At 51.0% G+C, this 27,165-nt stretch overlaps 1 protein-coding gene and 1 long non-coding RNA gene across 11 annotated transcripts in view, besides 4 other annotated features; one reads left to right on the top strand and one right to left on the bottom strand.

Moving 5' to 3' along the window:
* Window positions 1-15,257, bottom strand: part of ADGRD2 (adhesion G protein-coupled receptor D2) — a 28,130-nt gene extending 12,873 nt beyond the window's left edge. Inside the window, exons 1-13 of one of the 4 annotated variants that reach the window (NM_001395425.1) lie at window positions 15,198-15,257; window positions 14,273-14,403; window positions 14,006-14,098; window positions 13,554-13,617; window positions 12,986-13,198; window positions 12,032-12,673; window positions 11,611-11,709; window positions 11,139-11,224; window positions 10,581-10,865; window positions 8,975-9,086; window positions 8,102-8,236; window positions 7,472-7,595; window positions 6,987-7,092 (exon numbers count right to left, since the gene is read on the bottom strand). In NM_001395425.1, coding sequence (NP_001382354.1) covers window positions 6,987-7,092; window positions 7,472-7,595; window positions 8,102-8,236; window positions 8,975-9,086; window positions 10,581-10,865; window positions 11,139-11,224; window positions 11,611-11,709; window positions 12,032-12,673; window positions 12,986-13,198; window positions 13,554-13,617; window positions 14,006-14,041 — 1,902 coding nt within the window. In that variant the 5' untranslated portion in view covers window positions 14,042-14,098; window positions 14,273-14,403; window positions 15,198-15,257. Of the gene's footprint in view, window positions 1-6,986; window positions 7,093-7,471; window positions 7,596-8,101; window positions 8,237-8,974; window positions 9,087-10,363; window positions 10,866-11,138; window positions 11,225-11,610; window positions 11,710-12,031; window positions 12,674-12,985; window positions 13,199-13,553; window positions 13,618-14,005; window positions 14,543-15,197 lie in introns of those variants that run through there. The other 3 variants (XM_047423339.1, XM_047423337.1, XM_047423338.1) reach the window with 3 other exon arrangements.
* On the top strand, window positions 12,057-26,800 carry LOC105376270 (uncharacterized). 7 transcript variants are annotated; one of them, XR_007061770.1, is made up of 6 exons: window positions 12,057-13,425; window positions 13,886-14,060; window positions 14,917-15,814; window positions 17,271-17,866; window positions 18,401-18,518; window positions 18,949-19,823. It is a non-coding gene; the product is annotated as an uncharacterized LOC105376270 (long non-coding RNA). The 7 variants fall into 7 exon arrangements; XR_007061766.1 differs by having other exon boundaries at window positions 13,886-15,814; XR_007061769.1 differs by having other exon boundaries at window positions 12,648-13,425; window positions 13,911-14,060; window positions 14,917-17,866.
* Window positions 14,058-14,582: an enhancer, noted in NCBI's record as "H3K4me1 hESC enhancer chr9:127213405-127213929 (GRCh37/hg19 assembly coordinates)". NCBI's record gives its function as "activates a minimal SCP1, AML or CMV promoter by ChIP-STARR-seq in primed H9 embryonic stem cells {active_cell/tissue: H9 hESC(primed)}" and the evidence as "EXISTENCE:reporter gene assay evidence [ECO:0000049][PMID:30033119]".
* Window positions 14,583-15,107: an enhancer, noted in NCBI's record as "H3K4me1 hESC enhancer chr9:127212880-127213404 (GRCh37/hg19 assembly coordinates)". NCBI's record gives its function as "activates a minimal SCP1, AML or CMV promoter by ChIP-STARR-seq in primed H9 embryonic stem cells {active_cell/tissue: H9 hESC(primed)}" and the evidence as "EXISTENCE:reporter gene assay evidence [ECO:0000049][PMID:30033119]".
* Window positions 15,108-15,632: an enhancer, noted in NCBI's record as "H3K4me1 hESC enhancer chr9:127212355-127212879 (GRCh37/hg19 assembly coordinates)". NCBI's record gives its function as "activates a minimal SCP1, AML or CMV promoter by ChIP-STARR-seq in primed H9 embryonic stem cells {active_cell/tissue: H9 hESC(primed)}" and the evidence as "EXISTENCE:reporter gene assay evidence [ECO:0000049][PMID:30033119]".
* Window positions 25,372-25,872: an enhancer, noted in NCBI's record as "H3K4me1 hESC enhancer chr9:127202115-127202615 (GRCh37/hg19 assembly coordinates)". NCBI's record gives its function as "activates a minimal SCP1, AML or CMV promoter by ChIP-STARR-seq in naive H9 embryonic stem cells {active_cell/tissue: H9 hESC(naive)}" and the evidence as "EXISTENCE:reporter gene assay evidence [ECO:0000049][PMID:30033119]".
* Window positions 26,801-27,165: the final 365 nt, after the last annotated feature.

Genomic DNA, 27,165 nt, shown 5'->3' with positions numbered 1-27,165 from the left:
AAGTCTTGCCTCATCCCCAAGCAGAGTGGACATATTTTTAAAAAAATCATCTTAACGGCTGGGTTTGGTGGTTCACACCTGTAATCCTAGCACTTTGGGAGGCTGAGGTGGGTGGATCACCTGAGGTCAGGAGTTCGAGACCAGCCTGGCCATCATGGCAAAACCCTGTCTCTACTAAAAATACAAAAATTAGTTGGGCGTGATGGCGGGCGCCTGTAATCTCAGCTACTCGGGAGGCTGAGACAGGAGAATTGCTTGAACCCGGGAGATGGAGGTTGTATTGAGCCAAGATTGTGCTATTGAACTCCAGCCTAGGCAACAGAGCAAGACTCCATCTCAAAAAAAAAAAAAAGAACCTGGAAATGGAAACTCATCTGATACTGTAGTTCCAGAAAGCACAGACAGGCTCCACCAGCTTATGACGGAAGGTCTGGAGGCAGGAGACAGAGACAGGGCAGGTGCATGAGCGTGGATTGAGGGGCATGGGGCAGTTGTGAGTGTGGATGGGAAAGGAGAGAGACCAGGAGGATGGAGGGACGCCAAGGACTCTGCATTTTAGGGACCAGGGGATTGCCCACCATGCGTCACAGGTGAAGGGGCAGAGGGGAGGCAGAGGGAGGAGAGTGCAGGCTGTCATTCCAGCATGGTGTGGAAGGTGGAAAAACTGGGAACAAGCTAAGCAGCCATCACCGGGGAGCAGTTAAGCAACTGCGCCTCTCCTCTCCTTGGGACACTGCCTCTGGTAAGATGAACACACAGGCCTCTGGCTACTGATGTGAAAGATCTCCGTGATACTTTGTTCAGTAAAGGAAGAATTCACAACATTGGGCATGATATAAGCCCATTTATGTGAAAAATTAAGGTCTGCATACTTGTGAAAACACATACACACACACGTACACACACAGCATGTGTGGGAGCAAACATGCAGTGAACTTAACAGTAGTTAGGTCTGGGTTGAATGTGTTATGATGAATGTGTTAGTTCTTTTGTAATTAAACAATGACAAAAATATAGATTTTATAACATGTCATTAAGCAGTGAAGACATATCAGGTGGCCAGTGGTACGAGCCCCAGTCTAGGTAGGGAAGGTAGCCTGAGCTTGGGACTTGGGCCATCTGTCCTGACTGGGGAGGGTGATGGTAATGACACCTCCCTTTGTGTCTTGCCAAGCACTTTCATGTCCTTTATTGTAGCTGATCTTCATAGCAACCTAAGAGACAGCTATAAATTCATGCAATTTCAGATGAGGAAACTGAGGCTCAGAAAGGAGGGTTAACCTGCTCGAGATTACGCAGCGCCATGCTTTGCATGGCTCTGCTGAAAGAGCAAGGGCTTTCATTTTGCAAAAGGAAAGAAATATATATAGTGTTATGTGCCCAGAAAACAGCTTAAGTAAAATGCACCAAAATGTTCATAGCGGTTATCTCTGAGTAATACAATTTTGTCTTTATCCTTTTCTATATTTTCTGAATGTGTCACAATGAGTAACACATCACTTTTATTTATTTTTATTTTAATGTATTTTAAATTATTAGTATATAAATATAATCTCAAAAATTCATCCTTTAGAATATTAAACAAGGCTGGGCGTGGTGGCTCACTTTGGGAGGCTGAGGCAGGAGGATCACTTGGGCCCAGGAGTTTGAGACCAGCCTAGACAACAAAGTGAGATCCTATCTCTGAAAAATACAAAATAAAATTAGCCAGGCGTGGTGGTATGGACCTGCAGTACCACCTACTTGGGAGGGTGAGCTGGAAGGATCGCTTGATCCCAGGAGGTCGAGGCCGCAGTGAGCTGTGATGGTGCCACCGCACTCCAGCCTGGGCAACAGAGGGAGAGACTGTCTCAAAAATAAATAAATAATAAAAATAAAAATATAAGCAAAATTGTAAAGTTCTAGCTAGACTGGCCAAGAATGAAAAAGAAAACATCACTGTAGAGTCTACAGATGTGAAAAGGAAATATTATAAGCAAATCTGTGCTAGAAATTTGACAACCTGGATGAAATGGACACATTCTTTGAAAGGCGCAAATTACCAAACCATCTCAAGAAGAAATAAAACACCCAAATAACCTATATCAATCAAAGAAACAGAACACACAATTAAAAATCTTTCCACAAAGAACACACGAGGTCCAGAGGAATTCACTGGAGAAGCTGATCAAACATTCACAGAGGAGGACAGAACTCTTCTCTTCCCAACTCATTTTATGAGGCCAGCATTAATCTGACACCCAAACCAGAGGAAGAGAGTACAAGAAACTACAGAACACATTATTCATGAACATAAACATAAAAATCCTCAACAAAATACTAGCTAATTGAATCCAGCAATATATATAAAAGATAATACACCATAAACAAATTACACTGATCTCAGGAATCCAAGGTTGGTTTAACACTTGAAAATCAGTCAGTGCAATTTACTAGATTAAGGAAATAAATGAGAAACCCATATGATCATATCAACATGCAAGAAACATCTGACAAAATTCAAAAGCCATTCATGATAAAAATTCTCAGCAAACCAGGAAGAGAAGGGAACTTGATTTGATGGACATCTACAAAAAGCCCAAACATCGCATTTAGTGGTGAAAGTCTGGATGCCTTCCTTCTAAGACAAAGAATGAGACAAGGATGCCTGACCTCACCACTCCAATTCAACATTGATCCAGAGATCCTAGCTGGTGCAACAAGGGAAGAAAAAGAAAGAAACAAAAGGGAGGAAAGAAAGGAAGGAATGAAGGAAGGAAGGAGAGAGAGAGAAAGAGAGAGAGAGAAAGTCAGGAAGGAAGGAAGGAAGAAAGGAAGGAAGGAAGAAAGGAAGACATGGATTGGAAAGGAGAAACAAAAACTGCCTTTATTGGCAGACAACATGAGCAAGTGTGTAGAAAATCCTAGAGGTTCCAGAAAAGAGCTACTGCAAGTACTAAGTGAGTTTGGCAAGGTTGCAGAATATAATATCATTGTATAAATCAATTATATTACTATATACTAGCAATGAACAGTTTAAAATTAAGAAAACAATATCATTTCCGGTAATATCCAAAACTTATGTAATACTTAGGCATATATTTAACAAAATGTCTCTAAGATCTGTGCACTGAAAGGTATACATCACTGAGAAAAAAATGTAAAAACCCTAAATAAATGGAAAGCTATATCTTGATAATGAATTGAAAGATGCCAGTTCTCCCAAATTGATATACACAGTCAATGCGATGTTAATGAAAATACTAGTAGGTTTTCTATAGACATTTATGAGCTGATTCTAAAATCTATATGGAAATGCAAAGAATCTAGAATAGCCAAAGTAATTTTGAAAAAGAACAAGGCTGGGTGTGGTAGCTCGTGCCTGTAATCCCAGCACTTTGGGAGGCTAAGGCAGGTGGATTGCTTGAGTCCAGGAGTTTGAGACCAGCCTGGGCAACATGGAAAAATCCTGTCTCTACAAAAAGAGAAAAAAAAAATTAGCCAGGCATGGTAGATCGCCTGTAATCCCAGCTACTTGAGGGGCTGGGGCTGAGGTGGGAGGAGGATCGCTTGAGCCAGGGAGGTCGAACCTACAGTGAGCCGTGTTCGTACCACTGTACTCCAGCCTGGGCAACAAAATGAGACCCTGTCTCAAAAAAAGAAAAGAAAAAGAACAAAGTTAGGCCAGGCACCGTGGCTCACACCTGTAATCCCAGCACTTTGGAAGGCTGAGGCAGATGGCTCACTTGAGGTCAGGAGTTCGAGACCAGCCTGGCCAACATGGTGAAACCCCGTCTCTACTAAAAATACAAAAAATTGATGAGGCGTGATGGCATGTGCCTATAATCTCAGCTACTGTAGGCTGGGGCAGGAAAATCACTTGAACGCGGGAGGTGGAAGTTGCAGTGAGCCGAGATCGTACCACTGTACTCTAGCCTGGGTGACAGAGTGAGACTCCATCTCAAAAAAACAAAAAACAAAAAACAAATTAAAAAAAAAAAACAAAGTTGGAAGATACACTACCTGATTTCAAGGCTTACTATACAGGCACATTAATCAGGACAGTAAGAAATTAACATAGGGATAGGCATATAAATCACTAGAACAGAACACACAGCCCAGAAATAGATCTACACATATGCAGACAATTGATTTCAACAAAGGTGACAAGAAAATTCAATGGGAGCAAAGAATAATCTTTTCAACAAATAGTATTGGAACTGGTTGTCTATATGGAAAAAAATGAACTTCAACCTTTTTACCTTCATAATATATAGAACTTAAGTTGAAATACATCATACACCTACATGTAAAAGTTAAAGTGATAAACTTCTTTGAGAATATCTTTGTGACCTTGGGATTGGCAAAGCTTTCTTAGATAGTATACAAAAAGCATGAGCTATGCAAGACAAAAATTGATAAATTGGACTTCATCACAATTAAAAACTTATCTTCCAAAGATACTGTTAAGAAAACAAAAAGCAAGCCACAGACTAGCGGAAATTATTCACAAGACATATCTCTAACAAAGGACTTGTATCCAAAATATATAAAGAATTCTTACAACTCAATAATAAAATAAATAATTTAAAAATTGGGGAAAAGATTTGAAGATGCATTTAAGAAAGGAAGATATATGACTGCTTAATAAGTGTATAAAGAGATGCCCAGAGTCATTGGTTTTCAAGGAATTGCAGCTTAAATCCACAATGAGATAGCAATACATGACTATTATAATGAATGACATTAAAAACACTGACAAGGATGTTGGCAGAGGTGTGGAGCAACTGGAACTCTCCAATGCTGCTAGTGGGAATGTAAAAATGGTTCAACCACTTTGGGGAACAGTTTGACAGTCTCTTAGGAAGTTAAAATATGCTTATCCTACAACTCAGCAAGTCTACTTTCAGGAATCTACCTAGTAAAGAGAAATCATTTATCCACAAAAAGACTTGTATATGAGTGTTCATAGCAGACTTATTCATAATAGCCCAAACTGAAAACAAGTCAAATCTCTGTCAGCAGGTAAATGGAAAAACAAATCATGGTACATCCATATACCTCAGTACTACTCAGCAGTGAAAAAGGAATGAGCTATTGAAATGTGCAACAACATGAATGATTCTCACCAATGAGACCTGAGCAAAAGCCAGGCCTCAACACATACTAGATGATTCCATTTACATGAAATGCTAGAAAAGACAGACACAGGGCCAGGTGTGGTGGCTCACACCTGTAATCCCAGCACTTTGGGAGGCCGAGGCAGGCAGATCACCTGAGGTAGGGAGTTCAAGACCAGCCTGATCAACATGGAGAAACCCCATCTCTACTAAAAAAAAATATATATATATATACAAAATTAGCTGGACATGGTAGCGCATGCCTGTAGTCCCAGCTACTCAGGAGGCTGAGGCAGGAGAATGGCTTGGACCCGGGGGGCGGAGGTTGCAGTGAGCTGAGATTGTGCCACTTGCACTCCAGCCTGGGTGACAGAGTGAGACTCAGTCTCAAAAAAAAAAAAAAAAAAATCAGAGCGTGGACGCTTTTCCACATCATGAACAATCCACCCGCAGCCCCATTCTGACGATATATACAAGAGAGTGATAAGCTGTGGTTGGTGTGTGTGTGTGTGTGTGTGTGTGTCCAAGATTACTGGTTGTGAGCAAAGAAGACTTGCTTTCTCTGAAACATTCTAGTGTTTCAGAAGGGAGAAGAAATTTGTGTATTAAGCGTGAAATGAAATTTAACATATCTTGGAGATCTTTCCACGTCAGTTTATAGAGAAATACCTCAATCCCTATATAACTTTCAGTTGACTATTCCATTGCACACTTGGTCCCTATTACCTGCGGGAGATTGGTTCCAGGACCCCCAAGGATGCCAAAACCTGCTGAGGCTCAAGTTTTTTATATAAAATGGCATGGTATTTGCATATAACCTAAACACATGCTCCTGTATACTTTAAGTCATCTCTAGATTACTTGTAATACCTAATACAACTTAAATGCTATATAAATAGCTGTTATACTGTCTTGCTTAGGAAATAAAATATAAATATATAAATAGCTGTTATACTGTCTTGTTTATGACCCCCAAAATAAAAGTCTATAGATGTTCAGTACAGATGCTATTTTTTCTGAATATTTTCCACCCATGGTTGCTTGAATCCTTGGTGGCGAAACCCTCCCATATGGAGGGCTGACCATATATATCTACAAAACTTTTTTTTTTTTTTGAGACAGAGTCTTGTTCTGTCACCCAGGCTGGAGGGCAGTGGTGTGATTTCGGCTCACTACAACCTCCGCCTCCTGGGTTCAGGCGGTTCTCTTGCCTCAGCCTCCCTAGTAGCTGGGACTACAAGTGTGTACCACCATGCCTGGCTAACTTTTGTGTATTTTTAGTAGAGATGGGGTTTCACCATGTTGACCAGGCTGGTTTCGAACTCCTGACCTCAAGTGATCCGCCCGCCTCGGCCTCCCAAAGTGCTGGGATTACAGGCGTAAGCCACCGTGCCCGGACCTACAAAACATTTAAAGTAGTCCCCTACTGATGGACATTTAGGTTATTTTTATTTGTATGAAGCGCATTCATATGTGAAGGCCCCTGTACACACACTGCAGTGAGTGAATGAATGAATTCACTGCACATGCTGCAGTGAATGACTCCATGGGAACTAACAGGTTTTCAAGTTATGCAGACGTAGAATGAAATCCCAGCTCTGCCACTTACAAGCTGGGGCCAATCACGTCAGCCCTCCCAAGCTTTGGATGAAGTGCGCGGTTGGAGGATTAAACGAAGGCTGCGTATCTGTGGCACCTGCCATAAGGTGACCCTGCAGTCAATCGCTTCCCTTCCCATTCCCTTGAGGACAATGGAGGTGGCTTGCAGGTACCTTTTGTGTGCATTATTAGGCCTTGGTTGTCCATTGGATAAATACTGGGGGTTGGGGGAACTGAACCAGGACACGTGCGCCAGGATGGCTGCTTCCCAGAAGCGCCACCCAGTACCTGGGCCCGGTGCTGGAGATGAAAGGTCATGGCCACGTTGACCTCTCCAGTGACGTCCCACACTTCAGAGGAGATGATGGCTGACCCCACCTGGGTGCTTAGGAACCTGTGGGAAGAATGGGAGCTTTCAAGGGTGGCTGTGGAGGAGGGATGGTGCCTGGCTGCGGCATGTCACCCAGGCCCCTACGGTGGAGGTGGCAGCCTCTGTGTCCGAAGGGATATCAGGAATTGTGGCACCTGGTTCAGTCTTGCCTTAGGGACTTGCTGGTAACTTGGGTAAGTCCCAACACAGAAGCCAGAACCCCAGACAGGAGTTGAGCCGTGTTCACCTCTGGCAGGTGCAGAAGTGTGTGTGTGTTGGGCAGGGGTGGGAAAGGGTGGGCCCTGGGCTGCTAAGGACACATGCGCCCACCAGAACGGGGGCTTTGGCCTTCCTTGGGGAGGGGACACAGGCCCTCACAGCCCTCCAGGTGGCGCCTACTCACCTCTGCACCCTGTTTGCCTCCTCTGAGCTGGCAGGGGCCTGGGGCTCTAGGTCCGGTCCCTCTAGGGTGTGCTGGAAGACTCTGGAGGTGAACCAGCTGTGGATCACGGTGACTCCAGAGAGGCCTGGCTGAGAGGAAGGGGCACCAAGGCACCACCCGGTGGCTGGGCAAGCACCACCAGTTGGCCCCGAGGGTGATGCTCTCCCCACTCTAGAGATAGGGAAACTGAGGCTCAGAGAGGTAAACTGACTTCCCTAAGATCACACAGCTAAGAAGTGGAAGAGCCAAAATTCCAAGCAGCCACAGTCCATGTGCTGAACCTCACAACTCCAAGGCCCTTTGCCCCTTGCCCTAATCCCCCACCCCTGCATGGCATCAAGCATAGGGGATCTTCCTCCACCACCCACTCCCGAGGGAAGATGTGTGTGGTTCGGTGGAGGAGAGTAAGTGAACACCACTCTGTGGTGGGTGCTTTTAACCTCATAAGCCACAAGGCAAGTAGTAATGTGCCCATTTTACAGACGAGCAAACTGAGGATCTGAAAGATGAGTAGCACAGCTAGCGACAGTTAGAGCTGAGGTTTGACCCAGAACCCAACAGGGCTCTGGACACCCCCTCATCCTCACCCACCTTTCCTGAGGAGTCGCCTCACTTCACTCGCAGGAATGTGGATATGGCCGGGCCCCTCTGGACGCCCACCAGGCATTGTGAATAAGCAGCCCCTCGTGCTGGCCTCCCTCAAGCGTAAGCTCCGCACCTCCAGGCCTGGGGGTAAATGGGGCTGGGTGGCTGGACCTCGGAGTGAGGTCTTTCTGCTGAGCAGGCCCAGCTAGCAGGGTCTGGATCCCTCCTTCCTGCCATAGGCCTAGGAGGCCACCATTCCTGCTCAGAGAGGTTCAGCAACTTGCCCAAGGCAAATCTGACTTTTCCAATTCCAGGGGAAGGGGGTCACTGAGAAGGAGGGGCGGTCACCGCGAGGCAGGACCTGAATATTGATGAGTCACCAGAAACTGGTGGGTACCCGAAGGACACGTGTTTGTACCTGAAGCTTCACCACAGGTGCACCCCCATTCAGGCTACAAACATTCACGGAGTGTGTACTTGGGCTTGGCCCCAAGATGCTGAGATGGCTCAGAAACAGCCTTACCACTCAAGGAGTGTCCCATAGAGGGAGATAATTCCATTATGTAATTACCAGAAATGCAATGAAAGACATGTTCAAGGTTCTGGGGTAACAGAGGCGGGAGGAACTGTCTCTCAGAGGAGGAGAGAGCTAAAACAGGAAGGCTTCCTAGAGGGAGTGAGGCCCACACAGGGTTCTGAAGGATGTATAGGTGTTTGCTAGGAGATCGAGGGAGAGAGGGCATTCTGGATGCAGGGCACAGCATGGGCAAAGGCAGGAAATAGAATGGAGTGTCTGTGGAAGTTCAGACAGCTCCCAGTCACCAGGGCTGAGGAGGGAGGTCTGAGTCCAGCCGTGTGGGCAGGTGGGTGCAGGCTCACCAGCATGGCGGTGCTGGATGCGCATTCGGGGCCGCTCTGAGGTCATTGAGGTGCTCAGCAGGGGTGCCAGGCGCTGCACACTCGCCACCAGGGCCATAGGCCCACCAATCACCTGGGAGGACGCTGCATCTCAGCTCTCTGTCACACTCTGCACCCCACTGCCGCCTGCCCTGAGCGCTGGGATAAATGCTCCATGATCTGGGAGGTGGTCCTGCCCTCTCCAGACCCTCCGTGGCTCTTTAAGGACTCTAGGATCAAGTCCTGGGTCCTCAGGTTGACATTTGAAGCCCTGCCTGCCCCAGCCTCCTTCGACCTATCCAATTCTATCTCCCAAGCCACCCCATCCTCCTGTTTGCCAACCAGGGCACACTCCGAAGGCTGGGCCATGCCTACCCCTTTGCTGTGGCTCAGTGCTAGACCTGTAATGGGTGCTCAACACTGAGATTCCAAAAGGAAAGCCATGGATGGGGGTGGTGAGAGCAGGGGAGGGAGGAGAGGAACCTGCATTCATGGGGCACCTACTCTGTGCTGGGCAAGTCACACTGTTCATCCCTAACGCCTCTCCATTGCCTTAGCAAGGCTGGCGTGATCATCCCTATTCCCCAGGGAAGAAAACTGAGCTTCAGTCTGGCTTTCCTCAGTCTACTGCAGTGCCTCGGATCCCTAATCAACTATGGGCTTGCACACTTCCCAGGACGGGGAGCTCACTACCCATGGTGAATCATTCCATAGAACCAGCCTCCTGTGTTATGCCGTCTTCCCCTACCCCCATGTCCTAGTCCCAGTTCTGTCCTCTGAGGCCCACAGGGGGACCAGGTTTGCTCCTTCAACCCCAGATAATTTGCAGGCACTGTTCATGATTCTCGTTCCCTCCCTGCTCTGGGCTGATCACTCCCAGGCCGACAGCCACTTCCACCAGGACAAGGTTTCCAACAGCCTCTCCATCTGGATAGCACCTCTCATGTTGTCCAGAGTGTCTGGGCTGTTTAGGCAGACAAGGTGGACTGTCCACTTGGCATAGATCCCCCACTTAAGGTGGTCAGCAGGTTCTTGGAGATGGTGGAGGCTCTTACTGACTGGTGGTTCTTAATCACTTCATTTAACTACAGAAGCTATTGTTAAAGTGCAATTTTTTTTTTTTTTTGAGACAGAGTCTCACTCTGTCACCCAGGCTGGAGTGCAGTGGTGTGATCTCAGCTCACTGCAACCTCCGCCCCCTGGGTTTAAGTGATTCTCCTGCATCAGCCTCTTGAGTAGCTGGGATTACAGGTGCCCGCTACCAGGCCTGGCTAATTTTGTATTTTTAGTAGAGACAGGGTTTCATTATGTTGGCCAGGCTAGTCTCGAACTCCTGACCTCAAGTGATCCACCCGCCTCAACCTCCCAAAGTGCTGGGATTATGGGCGTGAGCCACCATGCCCAGCCTCAAGTGCAATTGTTTGTGGAAGTTCAACTTATCAAATAGACAAAAGAGAAGCTTTTCAGGATAGACGCAGAGATGGAGCCCATAGCTAGATGCTGACTCCCCCACAGCTACACAACCAGCTGGTGGCTAGGCTGGAACCATAGCCCAGGCCCCTGCCCCACCCAGCCCTGCCAGCCTCACTTCACGGAGGGAGAGCCATGTGTCAGCCACCTGCTCCTCCAGGACCAGGCTGGCCACAGATACAACGCCTTGGCTCAGCTGCTCCCAGGGGCCTGTCAACAACAGCTCTGGGTCCCCAGCCCCGAGGGCCACCACCCTCTTCAGGAAGCGGACAACAGCCAGCAGTGCGGCCGGCCCCAGGGGAGCCATCTCCATCGCCAGGACATGCTCCAGAAGGCCCAGGAAGCTGGAGGCCTCCGCTGGGGACAGGGCCCCATGGACTTCGGAGAGGGGGTCCGGGAGGAGCTGTGGACAGAGGAGCCACTGACTCTGGGTCTGGTTGTTATGAGGGGATCCCCCCAAGGGCCACACTTGGGCTTTGCCAGGGTCTTCTTGGTGGGCACCCATTAAACTTGTCACAAGCCGCCAACTCTCAGGGGCTACAGAATAGGGAGCCTGAATGGCCTTTATTCCTGCAGACACACCAGGTGGGTGTCCCCTTTACAAGGGAGGAAACTGAGGTGCAGCGAGGTGACCCATGGAGCCCCCAGGCTTTCCAGCCCCTGAGAGGGAGCTCACCACAATGTCGTTGGCCAAGGCATTGACTCGGCTGATAACATCCTGGCCAGGCCACGACTGGGCATCCTGCAGCCGACGATAGGGCTCTGCAAAGGAGTGGATGCCAGGCTAGGCCCCGGGCAATACCCCTGCCCAGAGATGCCAGCCTGTTCAGTGACCTCCACCCACCACGTGCTGCCCAGGGAAGGAAGAGCACCTTGATGGCTGTGTGTCCAGAGTCTTACACACGGTGTTCTAGATGGGGAAACTGAGGCACAGAATGGCAAAAGAGCTTGCCCAAGGTCACACAATTTCGATTCACCCTTAGGTCCGTCTGGACCCACTGCTCTGTGGCCTAGACTCCATGGAGACCTTGAAGCTCTGAGTTTATTCTGAATTCCCAGACTTTGCCAGCAGCTCACCCCCTCTCAGTCTACTCCGGTCCACACCGGCTTTCCCTTCAGCAGAGCCCAGGGGTACAGCCAGGGCGCACCTGTCCGGTAGCAGCAGAGGAAGGGCTGCGGCTCCAGGCAGAGCTCAGAGCCCTCACTGCGAGGTCCCGGGTTCCACGTAGGGCACTCCTCGGAGGGCACTGGCAGGGGCAGGGGAGCTGTCAGGGCTCCCTAGGGGACCCTGGCGAGCCAGGACGCACGGCCCCGGGGTTAGGTGGCAATGTGAAACCTGAGAGAGGGACACTGTTGCCAGCTCGGGGTGGGGGTAAGGGGGCCGGGGGACGAGCGCAGACCCCCAGGCTGCTGGGACCAGGTTTATGCTGGAGCTTGCAGGCACTGCGGCCTGGAGAGGGCGTGGCCAGAGCTAGGCGTGGCTTGGTTGGCAAGGGGTGGGTCGAGTTCCAGGGTCGGAAGGGAAGGATTCGGGGCCATGGGGTGGGGCCGGGGCGGGGCGGGTCGTACCGGGACAGAGAAGGCGCACCCACACAGTGGGCAGCAGCGAGGGCGTGACGTCCAGGGCGCCCGGGTCCCAGCGGAAGAGCAGGCCCTCTGAGGGCGGCGCGCAGGCCCGTGCCCGGTGCAGCTGAGCGGGGCTCAGCGCCCGCGCCCACAGGTGGAAGTCGGTGAGGTTGCCGCTGAGGGCGTGACGCACCGAGAAGCCACCGCCCAGAGAGTCCTGATCCTGGCCCAGCACCAGGATGCCGCCGGACGGCACCGGGTGGCCGGCGCCCAGCCCCCGCGCCCCAGCGCGCCGCCTCCCATCGGAGAACAGCGCCCAGCGCCCGCCCCGCTGCTCCCACGTGGCGCACACATGGTGCCAGCGGCCGTCGGCGCGGAAGGCTGCGAGGAAGGGCGCGTGCTGCCCACGCACCACCAGCGCAGCGCGCACGACGCCCCCCGGCTCGGCGAAGGCGCGCAGCTGCAGCGCGTTGGGCAGCGCGGGCGCGGCAACGGAGAAGAGCGCTGCGGGGTCGGGCGAGGCACAGTCCCACTGCACGTGAGTACACGCGGTCAGCGCTGCCAGCTCAGGCAGAGGGCTCCGCAGCCGCGCCGCCCGGTCAGCCGTCCTCTCGTCGAACACCAGCACGGCGGTGGTGCGCGCACCTGCAGGGACACGTGGGCTGCGACCTCAGTTTCCTCACCTGTGCACATGGTCCTGCCCCTGCCCTTTGGCTCAGCGGTGGGGTCCTTCCAGGCTTTGGGATGCCTCCCCACCTCGGGAAGGAGGAAATGGGGGCTAGAGTTCCCCTGCCCAAGAGTCAAGCCCCGACGCCCAGTCCAGGGCAAAGGAACCTGGAGATGCAATGGGGTCTTACTCCCGGCTCATTCTGCAAATATTGTCACTGTGGGCTCCTATATCTGAAGGTCACCAGAGCCTCTGCCCCTTGCTCCCATTTCCCAGGGGCCCACACTCACGCCTCTGTGGGGGTCTCCGCAGAGGGGCCTCTCTTTGGCCCACCCAGACCGGATCGCGCAGCCGTGAAGCAAGAACCCCATCAGGGGGCTGCAGTGCCAAGTGGCCAAACTGCTGCTCGCAGGACTCTTGGGCCTGCCACCAGCTCAGTCGCTGTCCAGAGAACTTGCACACCCCACCTGCAGTCTTCACCACCTCGCCGGCGGCCACGGGGGCTAAAAACGATAAGAGAGACGGTGGGGGGTGCATTTTGTGGGCATCTGACTCTTCCAGGGCTGGGCGGAGCCAAGGACACTGGGCTTGGAGTCATTCGGGCTGGATGGGGCTGAACCCGCCCATGTCTATGGCCTGCTGAGTCCTGTCCTCTTGCAGAGCTCTTTTCGTCATCTGCGCAATGGCAGGAATGAGACGGAAACCAGTGAAGCGTTCCTCGCAGGGCCTGGTATGGTGGGGGTGGAACTAAATGTTACTCTTCCCCTCCTTTGCATTCTAGGCCAGTGCACCCCTTGGATCACAGACTTGCTTAGCTGGGGGACTGGGACCCTCCCTGGGGGGATCCCTCATACCAACCTGGGGCCCAAGGGTTCCTTGATTCACCTGGGGAGTTGGAGGGGGTCCCAGAGAGACTCCTGATCTGGGAGAGAAGAAGACAGGTGGGGGCTGGGACAACCCTCCCCTCACACTTGCAGTTGTTGAATGCCTACTCTGGGGGTGGGTGGGAGGGGGGCATTCAGTGGAAGCTGCAGACTCTGCAGTCAGACCTGGATTCAAATCCCACCACTCAGAGTGTGATCTCGGGAGGGCCCTTTGCTGCCCTGAGCCTTTTCCCTGTGTGAGGAGTAAACAGGCTGATGAGTAAGAGGGGTCACCCTTAGTGAGTGCTTTTATTCCGTCTGTGCCAGGACTTATCTTGGATAACATTTGCAGTGACCTTATGAGGTAAGGATGGCCACTTGGAACCCTTGAAGCTGTGAGTCCCCTTGACTTCCTCCCAGGCACTGCCCTCCCAGAAGTGAAGGTACCAGGAGGCAGAGGAAACAGTAGCACCACGGTGCCATCCTGGATCCAACGGAGCAGGTGACAGACAGCAGGGGTCACAGGCAGGCCAACTTGGACTGAGGAAAAAAAAGTCGCAGGAAAGCAGCTGGGCATCCTGCCTTGCTTCGCCCTTGGACTTCTGCAGGGTCCGTTTGCCCTTTGTTTGACTCCCAGACCCCACTGAGCTGGGAACCAACCAGTGGGCTGGAAGCCCAGGATGGGGTGGCCCACCTAGTAGGGACGACATTTACTTGCACAAAAGATGGTCTCCAGGAGCCCCTTCAGGACCGAAGCAGGGAAACACTGTCGCCCTGGAGAGCTGGGAGAGGGGGAGGCAGCAGCAGTCGCTGGCCAGAGAGGGGCGAAACAGAGCTCAGGGTCCCTGCAGCGGGTGGGGGAAGCTCAGGTCCAGGTGGGCTTTGTGTTCCTTGAGGTTCTCCGCCAAGGTTCTGCTTCATCAGGCCTCTGCCGAGTTCTCTGGCCTCACCTGTCCACCGCTGCTCCGTGCAGCCACCTTTCCCCTGCTCCCCAAGGTGCGTCCATTTCTGAGTTTCCCTCCTCTGGACCTGTGACCATGCCATCCCTCCTGCCTGGACTGCCTCCCAGTCTCTCAGTAGTACCACCTCCAGGTTCAGCTTGTGGTTCCGGCTGGTGGGTGTGCCACAGCCAGACGCTGTGCTCAGCGGGGATACCCTAACCCTGGGTGATCTGGGGTCACTCCCGTCAACCTGGGGGGCTCTGCAGGCAGGGAAGAGCCTCCTGGGTCTCTGCTCCAGCCCTGGCTTTACACAAATGTGCCTGAGAAAACACGGTGTCCTGACACCTGGCCTCATGCCACCTGGTGACGGCATCTGAGCCATCACCAGTGATCATTCACCCCTTTTCCCTTTTCCAGACAGCACGAAAATCCAACACGCCCCTCACCGGAGGACTGGGAGGCTCCCGCGTTTTGGATTCTGAAAAGCACTCCCTCGTTCACGTCTGCCTGGATTCGCGCCCTCAAGCCCCCTGGCGCCCACTTTTCTTGCTCTCCAAACACTCGTTGAGGCCCGAGAGGGAGATGCGAAGTTTGCCCACCACTGCGCGTCCCTCCTCCGCGAGGCGCCAATGGGCCTGAGTCAGGGGCCTCCCCTTCATCCGCTGGTCCCTCCCCTGTTCCCAGCTCCAGTTCCTCACCCGCTATGGCTGGCCTGGCGCCTGTGGCCGTTCACCGTCTGCGAGGCATCTGCGGGGACTGAAGTCGGGGAGGCAGCGGCGGGCTCTGGCAGATACCAGGAGATCCCGCCCCTCGGCCCGGGAGACCCCGCCCCTCGGCCACGCCCCTTTCCGCTCCCCACCCCGCCCTCTTGGGCCCCCCACCCGGCCCAGCCAGACAGAGACCTGCCTCCAGGTGGGTGGGAGGAGACCTTCAGTCCCTCGCCCCGGGCCTGTTGTCACTACCTCCCCCAAACACATTGGTTAAAGTCACCCGATTAGAAGGGGCCACCTGTGAGACTTGGATCCAAAGCAAACTAGCGGAAGCTGAAGGGTCTTGGGGCTTCCCAGGCCTCTCGGAGGCCGGGATGGTCGTGGAGGAGGGAGCGCTCAGTGCCTGGCCTACTGCCTGCCCTGAGCCGGCTCCCTACAGGACGCTTCTCCTGTACCTTCCACCTGCTGCGAGGAAGGGCTGGGGGCAGGCGTACCCATTTTCCAGAGGAGAACTGAAGGCTCTCACCCCGGGTTAGGCCAGTGGCCGGAGGCAGAGCCGGGCCTTGAACCTGGCTTTCTGGATCTTCATCCAGGCCATTCTAAAGGTACTGCAGGGATGGCAGAGAGGGCCTGTCTGGGGGAAGGGAATAGGGGCAGAGCCAGGGCCAGGGCTGCAGAGGGAGGCTGAGGGGTTGGGGGGATGCAGAGGCAAAGATCCTCCATGCAAGTGTGGAGTAGGGACTGTGGGCATACCTTCCTGGTCTCAGTAGCAGGGATGCCTGGTTAGGAGGGAGGTTAGACTGAATGACCCCAGGGCTCAGGCTTTGGGGGCAGATAGATCCATCCAAGTTCATCCAAGTTCATGTTGACTCTGACCTAAGGCATGACACCTAATTTCTCCAAGCCAGTTTCCTCATCTGTAATGTGTGGATGATGAATAGTGCATAACTCATGGAGTTGCTGTGAGATTTAAGTGACTTTGACTTAACATGTACCAAGCCCGTAGCTAATACATGGTGCCTGGCACACAGTCCACTTAGCATTCTTGTCAAAACTCACTTAAAAGGTAGCCTGCCAGGCCGGGTGCAATGGCTCATGCCTGTAGTCATAGCACTTTGGGAGGCTGAGATGGGAGGATAGTTTGAGGCCAGGAGTTTGAGACCAACCTGGGCAACACTGGGAGACCCTGCTCTGTCTGTACAAAAATTTAAAAATTAGCTGGGTGTGGTGGTGCACACCTGGAGTCCCAGCTACTTGGGAGGCTGCAGTGTGAGGATCGCTTGAGCCTGGAAAGTTGAGAATGCAGTGAGCCATGACCATCCCACTGCATTCCAGCCTGGGTGACACAGCGAGACTCTGTCCTCCCCCCTAAAAAAAGCCTGCTGGCAACAATTTTTATTTTACTTTTATTATATATATATAGAGAGAGACAGGGTCTTGGTCTTATGATGGTTTATTTTAAGAAGGGGGGGAATCAATATATATCAAAGGAAGATATATTGGTGTTCCATGTGCTATTCTTTCAGCTTTTCTCTGGGTTTGATAATTTTCAAATTAAAAATTGGGAGACAAGAGGCCTCTGCCTGGGTCAGAGCTCGGAGCATTTCCCGGGTTCTTGGTCCAGCAAAACGTGGGCAGGACTTGGTTCTCTCCTGTTTGCGACCTGCCCACTTCCCAACCAGTCCCAGTTTCCAGAGCCAGTGAGAAGTGCAGGAAGGAGAGGCCCAAGATGAAGCCTCGCTCTGCTTGGCCCTGGCTGGGCCTTCCCACACTTGCACCATCTCACTCAAGGCAGGGATTCTTAGGAGCCCATTTTACGCATGTGTAAACTGCGCCCAGTGAGGAGAAAGGACTGGCCCAAGGTCACGAAGCAAGGAAGGGGTGGGCTGCAGGTCAGCCTCCGAATGCCAACACTACCAGTCTTCTTGTGTACCTTCTGGCCCTCCTCACCGTGCCCTTCCTGTCCTACCCCAAATCTCTCTCTGTATCTTAAGCAACGACCTTCCTATCTTTGGCGATGCCCCTGCCCTGGCGCCCACAGCCCAACTCTCTCCCTTCCAGGGGATCACAGTTTCCAGGAGTCACTCCTGAAGATGGTCAAGTACCATGGAGGGGCAGGGCATCCATGGACCCTGATTTGAGGCCCCGGAGCAGTTGGGACTGGTTTGGGCCACGGCTGGCCTAATCTCCCCTCCACAGAGCCTGGGCATTGTCCAGTTGGCAGCCAAGAGCCATCTATCCACTTTACAGCGGGCAGCTTTGACAGGCTGCTTGTTTCCAAGGACAAAGCCTGCAGGCTGTGGGTAGGCGATAGCCACTGCGGACCTCGGGCTCATTGCCTGGGTACAGGGGGTGGGGAGCCTGAGGTCTGCCAGGACCCAAGGGAGCCTCGAGGGTGGCCTGAGGACATTGGGTCCTCACTCCTGGCCCCTCAGCCAACCCCCTCATAGCCCAGGGCCAGGAATTTTGGAAGGAAGAACCAGCCACTGGGATGTTTTCACTTTTGGGTCACCCTGATCCCCCCAGAATCGAGGCTTGGCCATCAGCCAGCTTTTATGTGACCCAGGCAGCTCTCTCCACTCTGTTTCTTCTTCTACAGAATGTTGAGAATCACCTCTTTCTCTCAGGGACATAAAGCATGGCTGTGAGAGAGATTTGTGAGTGTTGGGGTCACTGTAATTACTCTCTGAGGGTGCCTGTCTTGAGCTCTGTAGACAAAGTGGGATCCCTTCCCCTCTCTCATACCCCTACAAACTTTGGGCCTCGAGTATCCAGGATGGGCCCAGAACCAGCACTGGCACAGCCTCCTCTCTGGCCTGATCCAAGCCCTCTCCCACACAGCAGTCAGGCTGATCTTCCTAAAATTTCCGTCTATTGAGCTTACATTAAAATAATAATAATAATAATAATAATAATAATAATAATAATAATAACAACATTTCTGTCTGATTTTGTCTCTCCTCTGCTCAAAATCCCTCTGTGGATCCCTAGTGCCTCCAGGAGAAAGTCCACCCTTCCTCTCACGGCTCACCCAATCTACCCCAGCCGTGGCTCCTCCCTCACTGTGCCTCTTCCCCTTACCTTCTAGCCAGAGTGAAATCCCCAGGCCTCTGCGTGCACCATTCCCTCTGCTTAGGAATAGGCAGACCTGCCCCCAGGTCTTTTCTGGTTCATTTCCACTTATCCTTCAGGTTTCTAGGATGCTTTCCCTGACCTCCACTTAAATTGGCTCAGGAGTTCCCTGATCTCCACAAATGTCAGGAACTTGTCCACCCGCCTGCCCCCAGCACCCAGGTTACACCTGACAAAGTAAGCGCTTTGGAATGCTCCAACAGACCTAGTCATACCATACCCGGACAGATGCCTTGCGTGTGTGTTTGAGGGTGGTGGTGCTGGGGACAGTGGGAAGGGACTCTGCCTCATGGACCCCCAAGGCCAGACACCTGCACTGCTGCTTGTGGCCACTGGAGGGCGAAACAACTATTTAGTGCCTACCTGCGGCAGGCCCCTCCTCAGCCTGGGAGAAAAGAGATGCCCCTCCCGCCCACCCCCACCTGTCCCCACCTGTCCCCACTTGTCACTGGGGCAGCTCCGGAAGTAAAACGTGGACGCAGCTGGTGCAGTGGCCTTGAGCTGGCAGTCAGAACCTCTGCCTACCCCCATCCCCCATTCCAGGCCCTTCTCTGCCAACAACCAGCATAGGGACCTGAATAAGTCACATCTCTGCTCTTGGTTTCAGATGATCTGTGACATGCCTGGCCTGGAGCCTGGCACACAGCAGGTGCTCAGTAAATACATATTTGGCCGGGCGCGATGACTCACGTCTGTAACCCCATCACTTTGGGAGGCCGAGGTGGATGGATCACCTGAGGTCACGTGTTTGAGACCATCCTGGCCAACATGGCGGAACCCTGTCTCTACTAAAAATACAAAAATTAGCTGGTTGTGGTGGCGCGTGCCTGTAATCCCAGCTGCTGGGGAGGCTGAGGCAGGAGAACCTGGGAGGCGGAGGTTGCAGTGAGCCAAGATCATGCCATCACACTCCAGCCTGGGTGACAGAACAAGGCTCAGTCTCAAAATGAATACATACATACATACCTATTTGTATTAGGAGGAGAAAACCAAGAACCAGAGAAGAGAAGAGAAGGGAAGGGACCTGTGGCCACATAGCAAGGCCATGGCACAGCCGAAGTCTCCTCTGCTTTCCTCATGCAGCCCCGTCCAACCCATCTCTTTCATCTCTTTTCTTAAAACTTAAAAATATTTTCAGGGGGGTGTGGTGGCTCATGCCTATAATCCCAGCAATTTGGGAGGATGAGATGGGAGGATTGCTTGAGCCCGGGAGTTTGAGGCTGCAGTGAGCCACTGTAGTCCAGCCGGGGTGACACAGCCAGACTCCATCTTTTTCTCTGTATATTTTTTCACCTCTACCTGATGTGACTGAGTAACTGCTGGGGTACATCACCTCTTTCAGGTGATGGAAATGTTCTAAAGTTGATTATGCTGATGGTTGGTTGCCCAGCTGTGAATGCAGTAAAAACATTGAGCCGTACACTTTAAATGGACAAGTTATGTGTGAATTATATCTCAATAAAGCTCTGTGCCCCACCCAAATCTCCTGTCAAACTGTGATTCATAGCGTTGGAAGTGGGGCCGGGTGGAAGGTGACTAGATCATGGGGGCGGATCCTTCATAAATGATTTAGCACAATCCCTTTGGTGCTGTTCTTGTGACGGACTTCTCATGAGATCTGGTTGTTTAAAAGTATCCAGCACTGGCTGGGTGTGGTGGCTCACGCCTGTAATCCCAGCACTTTGGGAGGCCAAAGTGGGTGGATTACCTGAGGTTAGGAGTTCAAGACCAGCCTGTCCAACATGGTGAAACTCCGTCTCTACTAAAAATACAGGTGTGGTGGCAGGCACCTGTAATCCCAGCTACTCAGGAGGCTGAGGCAGGAGAATTGCTCGAACCTGGGAGGCTGAGGTTGCAGTGAGCTGAGCTTGCGCCACTGCACTGCAACCTGGGCGACAAGAGCGAAACTTCATCTCAAAAACAAAACAAAACAAAAAAAAGTATCTAGCACTTCCCCCCTCTCTCTTTCTTGGTCCTGCCTCTGCCATGTAAAACACTTGCTTCCGATTTGCCCTCTGCCATGAGTAAAAGCTTCCTGAGGCCTCCCCAGAAGGAGAAGCTGCCATGTTTTCTGTACGGCCTGTGGAACTGTGAGCCAATTAAACCTCTTTCCTTTTTTCCTTTTCTTTTTTATTTTTTCCCCACTCTGTCACCCAGGCTGGAGTGCAGTGGTACAAACATGGCTCACTGCAGCCTCGACCTCCCAGGCTCAAGCAATCCTCCCACCTCAGCCTCCCAAGTAGCTGGGACTACAGGTGCATGCCACCACACCTGTCTAATATATATAAATATATATATTATATTATTATATATAAATATCATATATATAATATATATATAAATATATACTAATATATATATATATATATATATATATATATATTTGTAGAGATGGGGTTTTGCCATGTTGCCCAGGCTGGTCTTAAACTCCTGAGCTCAAATGATCCTTCTGCCTTGGCCTCCCAAAGTGCTAGGATTACAGGTATGAACCAATGCACCCAGCCTAAACCTTTTTTCTTTATAATCACCCAGTCTCAGGTATTTCTTTATCGCAGTGTGAGAACAAACTAATGCAAGCAATACTGTGGAAGAGAAACACTGAACTTGTTTGGGAGGCTGAGGTGGGCAGATCACCTAAGGTCATGAGTTCAAGACCAGCCTGGCCAACATGGTGAAACCCCATCTCCACTAAAAATACAAAAATTAGCCAGGTGTGGTGGTGGGCACCTGTAATCCCAGCTACTCGGGAGGCTGAGGCAGAAGAATCTCTTGAACCCGGGAGGTGAAGGTTGCAGTGAGCCGAGATCGTGCCACTGTACTCCAGCCTGGATGACAGAGCAAGACTCTGTCTCAGAAAAAAAAAAAAAAAAAAGAAAAAGAAAAAGAAAAAAAAACCCCACAAAACTTGGAGTTGGAGGCCCTGCCTCTTAGTAGCTACATGAACTTCTTGAGCTCCGGTTCTGTCATCTGTGACTTGGGATCCTATTCCCTACCCCACCTTCCTCCCAGGAAGCAATCAAATGAAAGAGTTGAGTTGTAACATGCCCAGAGTTGATACCAGTCTCAGCATGGCCATGCCTGAAAAAGTGAATCTCTTACTCCAGGTAACAAACAAATATTTCACCAAATAAAGAAGTGAACAAATACTTCACCAATACAAAAATAAAGTAAAAAAGTACGAAGTGAAACACAAATATAAAGTGAAAAATACATGGGGAAAAACCTTCTTCCTTAGTTTTCATCATAGGAATAAAAACAATAGCATTTTATTGAAACAGGCCCTGCTCATGTTTTGCTGGCCCAGGAACCTGGGAAATGATCCAGACTCTGCCCTAGGCAGAGACAGACCTCTTGTCTCCCAATTTTTAATTTGAAAATTATCAAACCCAGAGAAAAGCTGCAAGAATAGCACACAGAACACCAATATATCTTCCCCTGATTCCCCTCCTTCTTCTTAAAGTAAACCATCATAAGATGGTAACATTTTATGATACGAATTTGGTGAAAACCTTTTTAAAATCATAAAACTCTGTGCTGGCACAGTTGTGGTGAACTCAATACACTGAAGTAGAGTTACATGGAAAATAGCACAACACTCTTGGAAATCAAGAGAGTAATGTATTAAGAGCACCAACAAATGTTAAAATCCTTGACCCAGCTGGGCTCAGTAGCTCACGCCTGTAATCCCAGCACTTTGGGAGAGCAAGGTGGGCAGGTCACCTGAGGTCAGGAGTTCAAGACCAGCCTGACCAACATGGAGGAACCCCGTTTTTATTTAAAAAAAAAATAATAATACAAAATTAGCCGGGTGTGGTGGTGCATGCCTGTAATCCCAGCTACTCAGGAGGCTGAGGCAGGAGAATCGCTTGAACCTGGGAGGCGGAGGTTGCAGTGAGCCAAGATCGTGCCATTATACTCCAGCCTGGGCAACAAGAGTGAAACTCCATCTCAAAAAAAAAAAAAAAAATTCTTGACGCAAATAATTGTGCTCCATGGAAAATACATGCTGCATGAAGATATTCATCATAACATTATGTATAATATTTTAAAAATCGGAAACAACATAAATGTCCAACAAATACATCAGAACCATCCACTTGAAGAAGTACTAAGCCATTAATGAGAATTATAGAAACGACATAGTGATAAGGAAACTGCAAATGATCTAATAGTAAAAGAGAAAAGTAGAAAACAAAAATTATGTGTTGTATAATTGCAACTAAGTACAACTTGATGCAGCCTGGCAGATACTGTTGGTGACTGCCCAGCATTTGTCCTCACCGCCCTTCTTCTTTGTCCAGAAACGCTTGCTTTCTCAGCCTCCCTTGCAGTTGTGGGTAGTCATGTTACCACTGAGATGTAAACCAAAGTCTCCTGGGGGAATTTAGGGAACTATTTTGCTTTCCTGTGAAAAGGGGTTGTTGGCTGGGCACAGCGGCTCATGCCTGTAACCCTGTAGTCTCAGCACTTTGGGAGGCCAAGGCAGGAGGGTTGCTTGAGCCCAGGAGTTTGAGACCAGCCTGAGCAACATAGCAAGACCCCATCTTTACAAAAAAATAAAAAAAATTTGCAAGGTATGGTGGCACATGCCTGTAGTTCCAGTTACTTGGGAGGTTGAGGTGGGAGGATTCCTTGAGCCTAGGAGGTGGAGGCTGCAGTAAGCTGTGATGGTGCTACTGCACTCCAGCCTGGATGACACAGCAAGACTCTGTCTCAGAAAAAAAAAAAAGAAACAGAGAGAGAGAGAGAGTGTGTCATAGCTTTCACTATCCCCTTTCCCTCTTCCTTCTGCCTTGAATGCATGTGAGATGGCTGGAGCTGCAGTAGCTTTTCTGTGTCCATGAGGCAGTTAGTATGTCAAAAAGGATAGTGGAGCAGCATGATTGAAAGACCCTGAGTCTGTGACATCACTGAGCTGCTCCCCAATCTGGAGACCACCTACCAACATTTTTTTTGGTATGTGAGGAAAAGAAGCCCCCATTTATTTAATGCACTGTTGTTGTTACTTGAAGCTGACAGCATTCCTAACTGATACATGGACAAAGACTTAAAAATACAGTGAATGGTGCACAAGATTTGGAGTCAGACAAACTGGGGTTCAGATTTCTTTTCTCCCACTCTCTTATTGTGTGATTTAAGCCAAGTCACTTCCCCTGTGAGTCTCTGTTCCCTCAAGTTTATTTTTATTTTATTTTTTGAGACAGAGTCTCACTCTGTTGCCTAGGCTGGAGTGCAATCGTGCGATCTTGGTTCACTGCAACCTCCGCCTCTCAGGCTTAAGTGATTCTCCTGCCTCAGCCTCCCAAGTAGCTAGGGATTACAGGCACACGCTACTGTGCCTGGCTAATTTTCGTATCTTTACTAGAGCCAGGGTTTTGTCATGTTGGCCAGCCTGGTCTCGAACTCCTGACCTCAAGTGATCTGCCCACCTCGGCCTTCCATCAGTTCCTCAACTTTAAAATGAAGCTAATGACACTCACCTCTTGGGCTTTTCAAGAGTAGAACAACATGACAGAGTTGGAGTTCTTGGTTAACGGTAAAGGGATATTTACATTTAATTTTTCAAACTAGAAGTCTGAACTAAAATAAAAGAAGGAATTAGTTATTGTGTTAGAAGAGCGGAATTGGTCATTTTTTTCTTTCCTTTTTTTTTTTTTTTGTCTCAAATATTCTTAAGGCTGCTCTGGGTCTCTCTCTTCTGGACAGTGAGCACTTTGTGGTGTGGAAGGGTCTGGGCCTGAGGCCGGGGCTGCTGCTGGGTCCTGAGTGGAGGTGGCGGTAGGTGGAGCTCGCAGCTTGCAGCAGAGCCGGGCCAGGGCGGTGGGCTCCTCACCTGGCCCTGGCAGGCAGGCGGGCGCAGGTGGGGCTCGGTGGCAGCGGCTGTGACTCGAGGTAAAAATAATCAGGCAAGGACAGCTGCTTCCTCATCAGCAACCAAGAGGGAAATAAAGCTCATGTCCCCTCCAGCGAAAACCTGCTCTCCGGTCCCCTGGCTCCTGCCACCAACTGCTCGACGTCCTTGTGCCAATCCAATTTGAACGCCTGCGATTCACCCCAGAGAGGGCTTATTTTAACTTCATCAAGCGCAGAGAAAAACATCCAGGCTGGAGTCTGTGGGAGGGGGAGGAGCAGCTGCTTGGGGGCCTGGGCTGGGGATGGGGTCCCAGAGCTCCTACCCCTCAGTGGTGGGACTTGGGGTCCCCTCCTCCGAGTCGGGTTCAACAATCAATCAAGTCATTCCTTCAACCAAGGCTTAGTGAGCACCTACTGGGTGTTCCCTGAAATCAATGGGAGAAAGTCCCGAGGCCTTGGCCCGGCTCGTGAAGTCCTTTCCAAGTCCTCACCCCTTTCCCTGTCCCCTCAGTTCTCCAAACAGCCTCCTCTCGGGCTGCACCAGTCCTCCACGAAAGCCTAGGCATGCCGTGTTTTCTCCCGCCCATGCCTCACACCTTCCGCCTGAACTGTCTTTCCCCTGTTTCTCCACCCAGTGGAGGTCCAGAAATTCTAGAGAGTTCCTAGTTGTACCTCAAGCCTCAGCTTGGTCTCTCTGGTGGCTTCCCCAGCCCCTCCTGGCAGTGGGAGTGGTTCCCTCTGGGCTCCAGCAGGATTTTGTCCATCTATGTGTTTTAGCAAGGAAGCTGGGGGCTTCCTCCCTTCCTTGTCTACCCTTCTTTCTCTTCCAACAAGCACACTGACCTCTACTTTCTTTTTCCTTTTTTTTTTTTTTAGACAGAGTCTTGCTCTGTGCTCAGGCTGGAGTGCAGTGGCATGATCTTGGCTCACTGCAACTTCTGCCTCTCAGGTTCAAGTGATTCTCTTGCCTCAGCCTCCTGAGTAGCTGGGATTACAGGTGCCTGCCACCACGCCTGACTAATTTTTTTTTTTTAAGTAGAGACGGGGTTTCACCATGTTGGCCAGGCTGGTCTTGAACGCCTGACCTCAAGTGATCTGCCCACCTCAGCCTTCCAAAGTGCTGGGAGTACAGGCGTGAGTCACTGCACCTGGCCTCGTTTGGAAAATCTGAAAGTGTAATTGTTTCCTAGACCATGTGAAGTGCCCCGGAATCAAGGGGAGTGTTGACACATCCTAGGGCTCAGTGGCTCGCTAGGCTAGGTCCCAGGCTGGGTGTGGTTGGAGCTGTGGAGGTAGGCCTCTTGGGGAGGGTAGATGACAGGAGAGGAAGAAGAGGGAATTCCAGGTGTGTGGAGAGCTGGGAGAGAGTACAGACAGACCCAGAGGAAGAAATGAGGAAACTGGCGTGCTGGCTCAGAGAGGTGAAGCAGCTCATCCAAGGCCACACAGCTGAAGTGGCTGAGGTGGGCTTTGACCCCAGGTCTGTTTGGCCTCCTGCAAGCAGTTGACAGTGCTGGCTTGAGATGTGCTCCCTAGAGTTGACCTTGGAGCCCTCCACACCTTTGTCTTCTTGACCCCCTACATGGAGGCCTCCCGATGGACCTCCCTGGGAGAGGTGAGATGCACCTATGGGGGCACCTGACAGGATGGCCAGGGAAGCCCTCCAGTAAGACCGAGACACTGCCGAGCAGGGCAGAGCTCCCGGCCTGTGAGCCCCACAAATGGGTTCACCACATGCTGGCTGCCGTAGGCACCCATCATTTCTTATGTCCATCCCACCTGCTTCTCTTGGGGAGTTATCTTCTCCCACCATTCATGGGTTTCCACTCCAGCTGCCTCTCCTCAAAAGCAAACCAACAAGTAACATAAAATGCCCCGGGAATGCGCCTGAGCCATGTTTCGGCTGTTCCTCCAGTCACGGCCCAGCCGTGCAGTTCAGCGCTTCGCCTTGCCTGACACTTTGGTGTGAAGTGAGAAGAGCAGTGGTCCTGACCCTGGGGTTTCTGAGTTGGGAAGGTGAAGCTGGAGCTGCTGGTGGCCCCATGTCATGGGGTTAAGTTTAACTGCACACAACAGAAAGCTCCAAATAAAAGTGGCTTAAACAGGTAAAGATGTATTATTATTTTTAATGTAAAAGAAGCCTGATGGTGGCCAGTCCAGGTCTCATGTGACTCACTGAGACATTCCATCTCACCTCATGGCCCAAAATAGCTGCCAAAGCTCCAGCCATTGCACTTATGTTTTAGGCAACAGGAAGGAGGAAAGGTAGGTAAGGGCCTAAGAGTTTCTTCTTCCAGCGGTATCAGCTCCCTTCAGGCAACCTTCCCAGATGTACTACAGAATACTTGTGCTTATGTATCACTGGTTGCAAAGGAATTTGAGAAATGTCATTTATCATCTGGGCATTTTGTTGCCCCAAAGAGAACCAGGTTTCTGTCTTTGCCACAGGCTGCGTTTCCTGTTGTATCCATCTGCAATGGGAGGGAATAAATCCTGAGAGGAGGAGGAGGTGGGAGACAGAGACAGAGAGGAAAACACAGAGGCAAAGAGGGAGGCAGAAGGGGAACGAAGACTTCCCCAGTGCCTGAACCGATGGGGGCCTGAAGTCAGCCGCTGACCTCCAGGTAGCCTGAATCCACACTCCCCTCTCCGCCATTTCCCCTTTCCCCTTTCCTTTCCTTTCCGACGGAGTTTTGTCCTTGTTGTCCAGGCTGGGGTGCAATGGCACGAACTCAGCTCACTGCAACATCCGCCTTCCAGGTTCAAGCGATTCTCCTGCTTCAGCCTCCCGAGTAGGTGGGATTACAGGCGCGTGCCACCACGCCCAGCTAATTTTTTTTTTAGTTTTAGTAGAAACGGGGTTTCACCATGTTGGCCACGCTGGTCTGAAACTCCTGACCTCAGGTGATCCACCCGCCTTGGCCTCCCAAAGTGCTGGGATTACAGGCGTGAGCCACCGCGACTGGCCTCC

Source organism: Homo sapiens, chromosome 9 (assembly GCF_000001405.40).
Source record: "Homo sapiens chromosome 9, GRCh38.p14 Primary Assembly".
Lineage (NCBI taxonomy): Eukaryota > Metazoa > Chordata > Mammalia > Primates > Hominidae > Homo > Homo sapiens.
The sequence above is the reverse complement of the archived record's forward strand: the minus strand, read 5'-3'. Positions and strand labels throughout refer to the sequence as shown.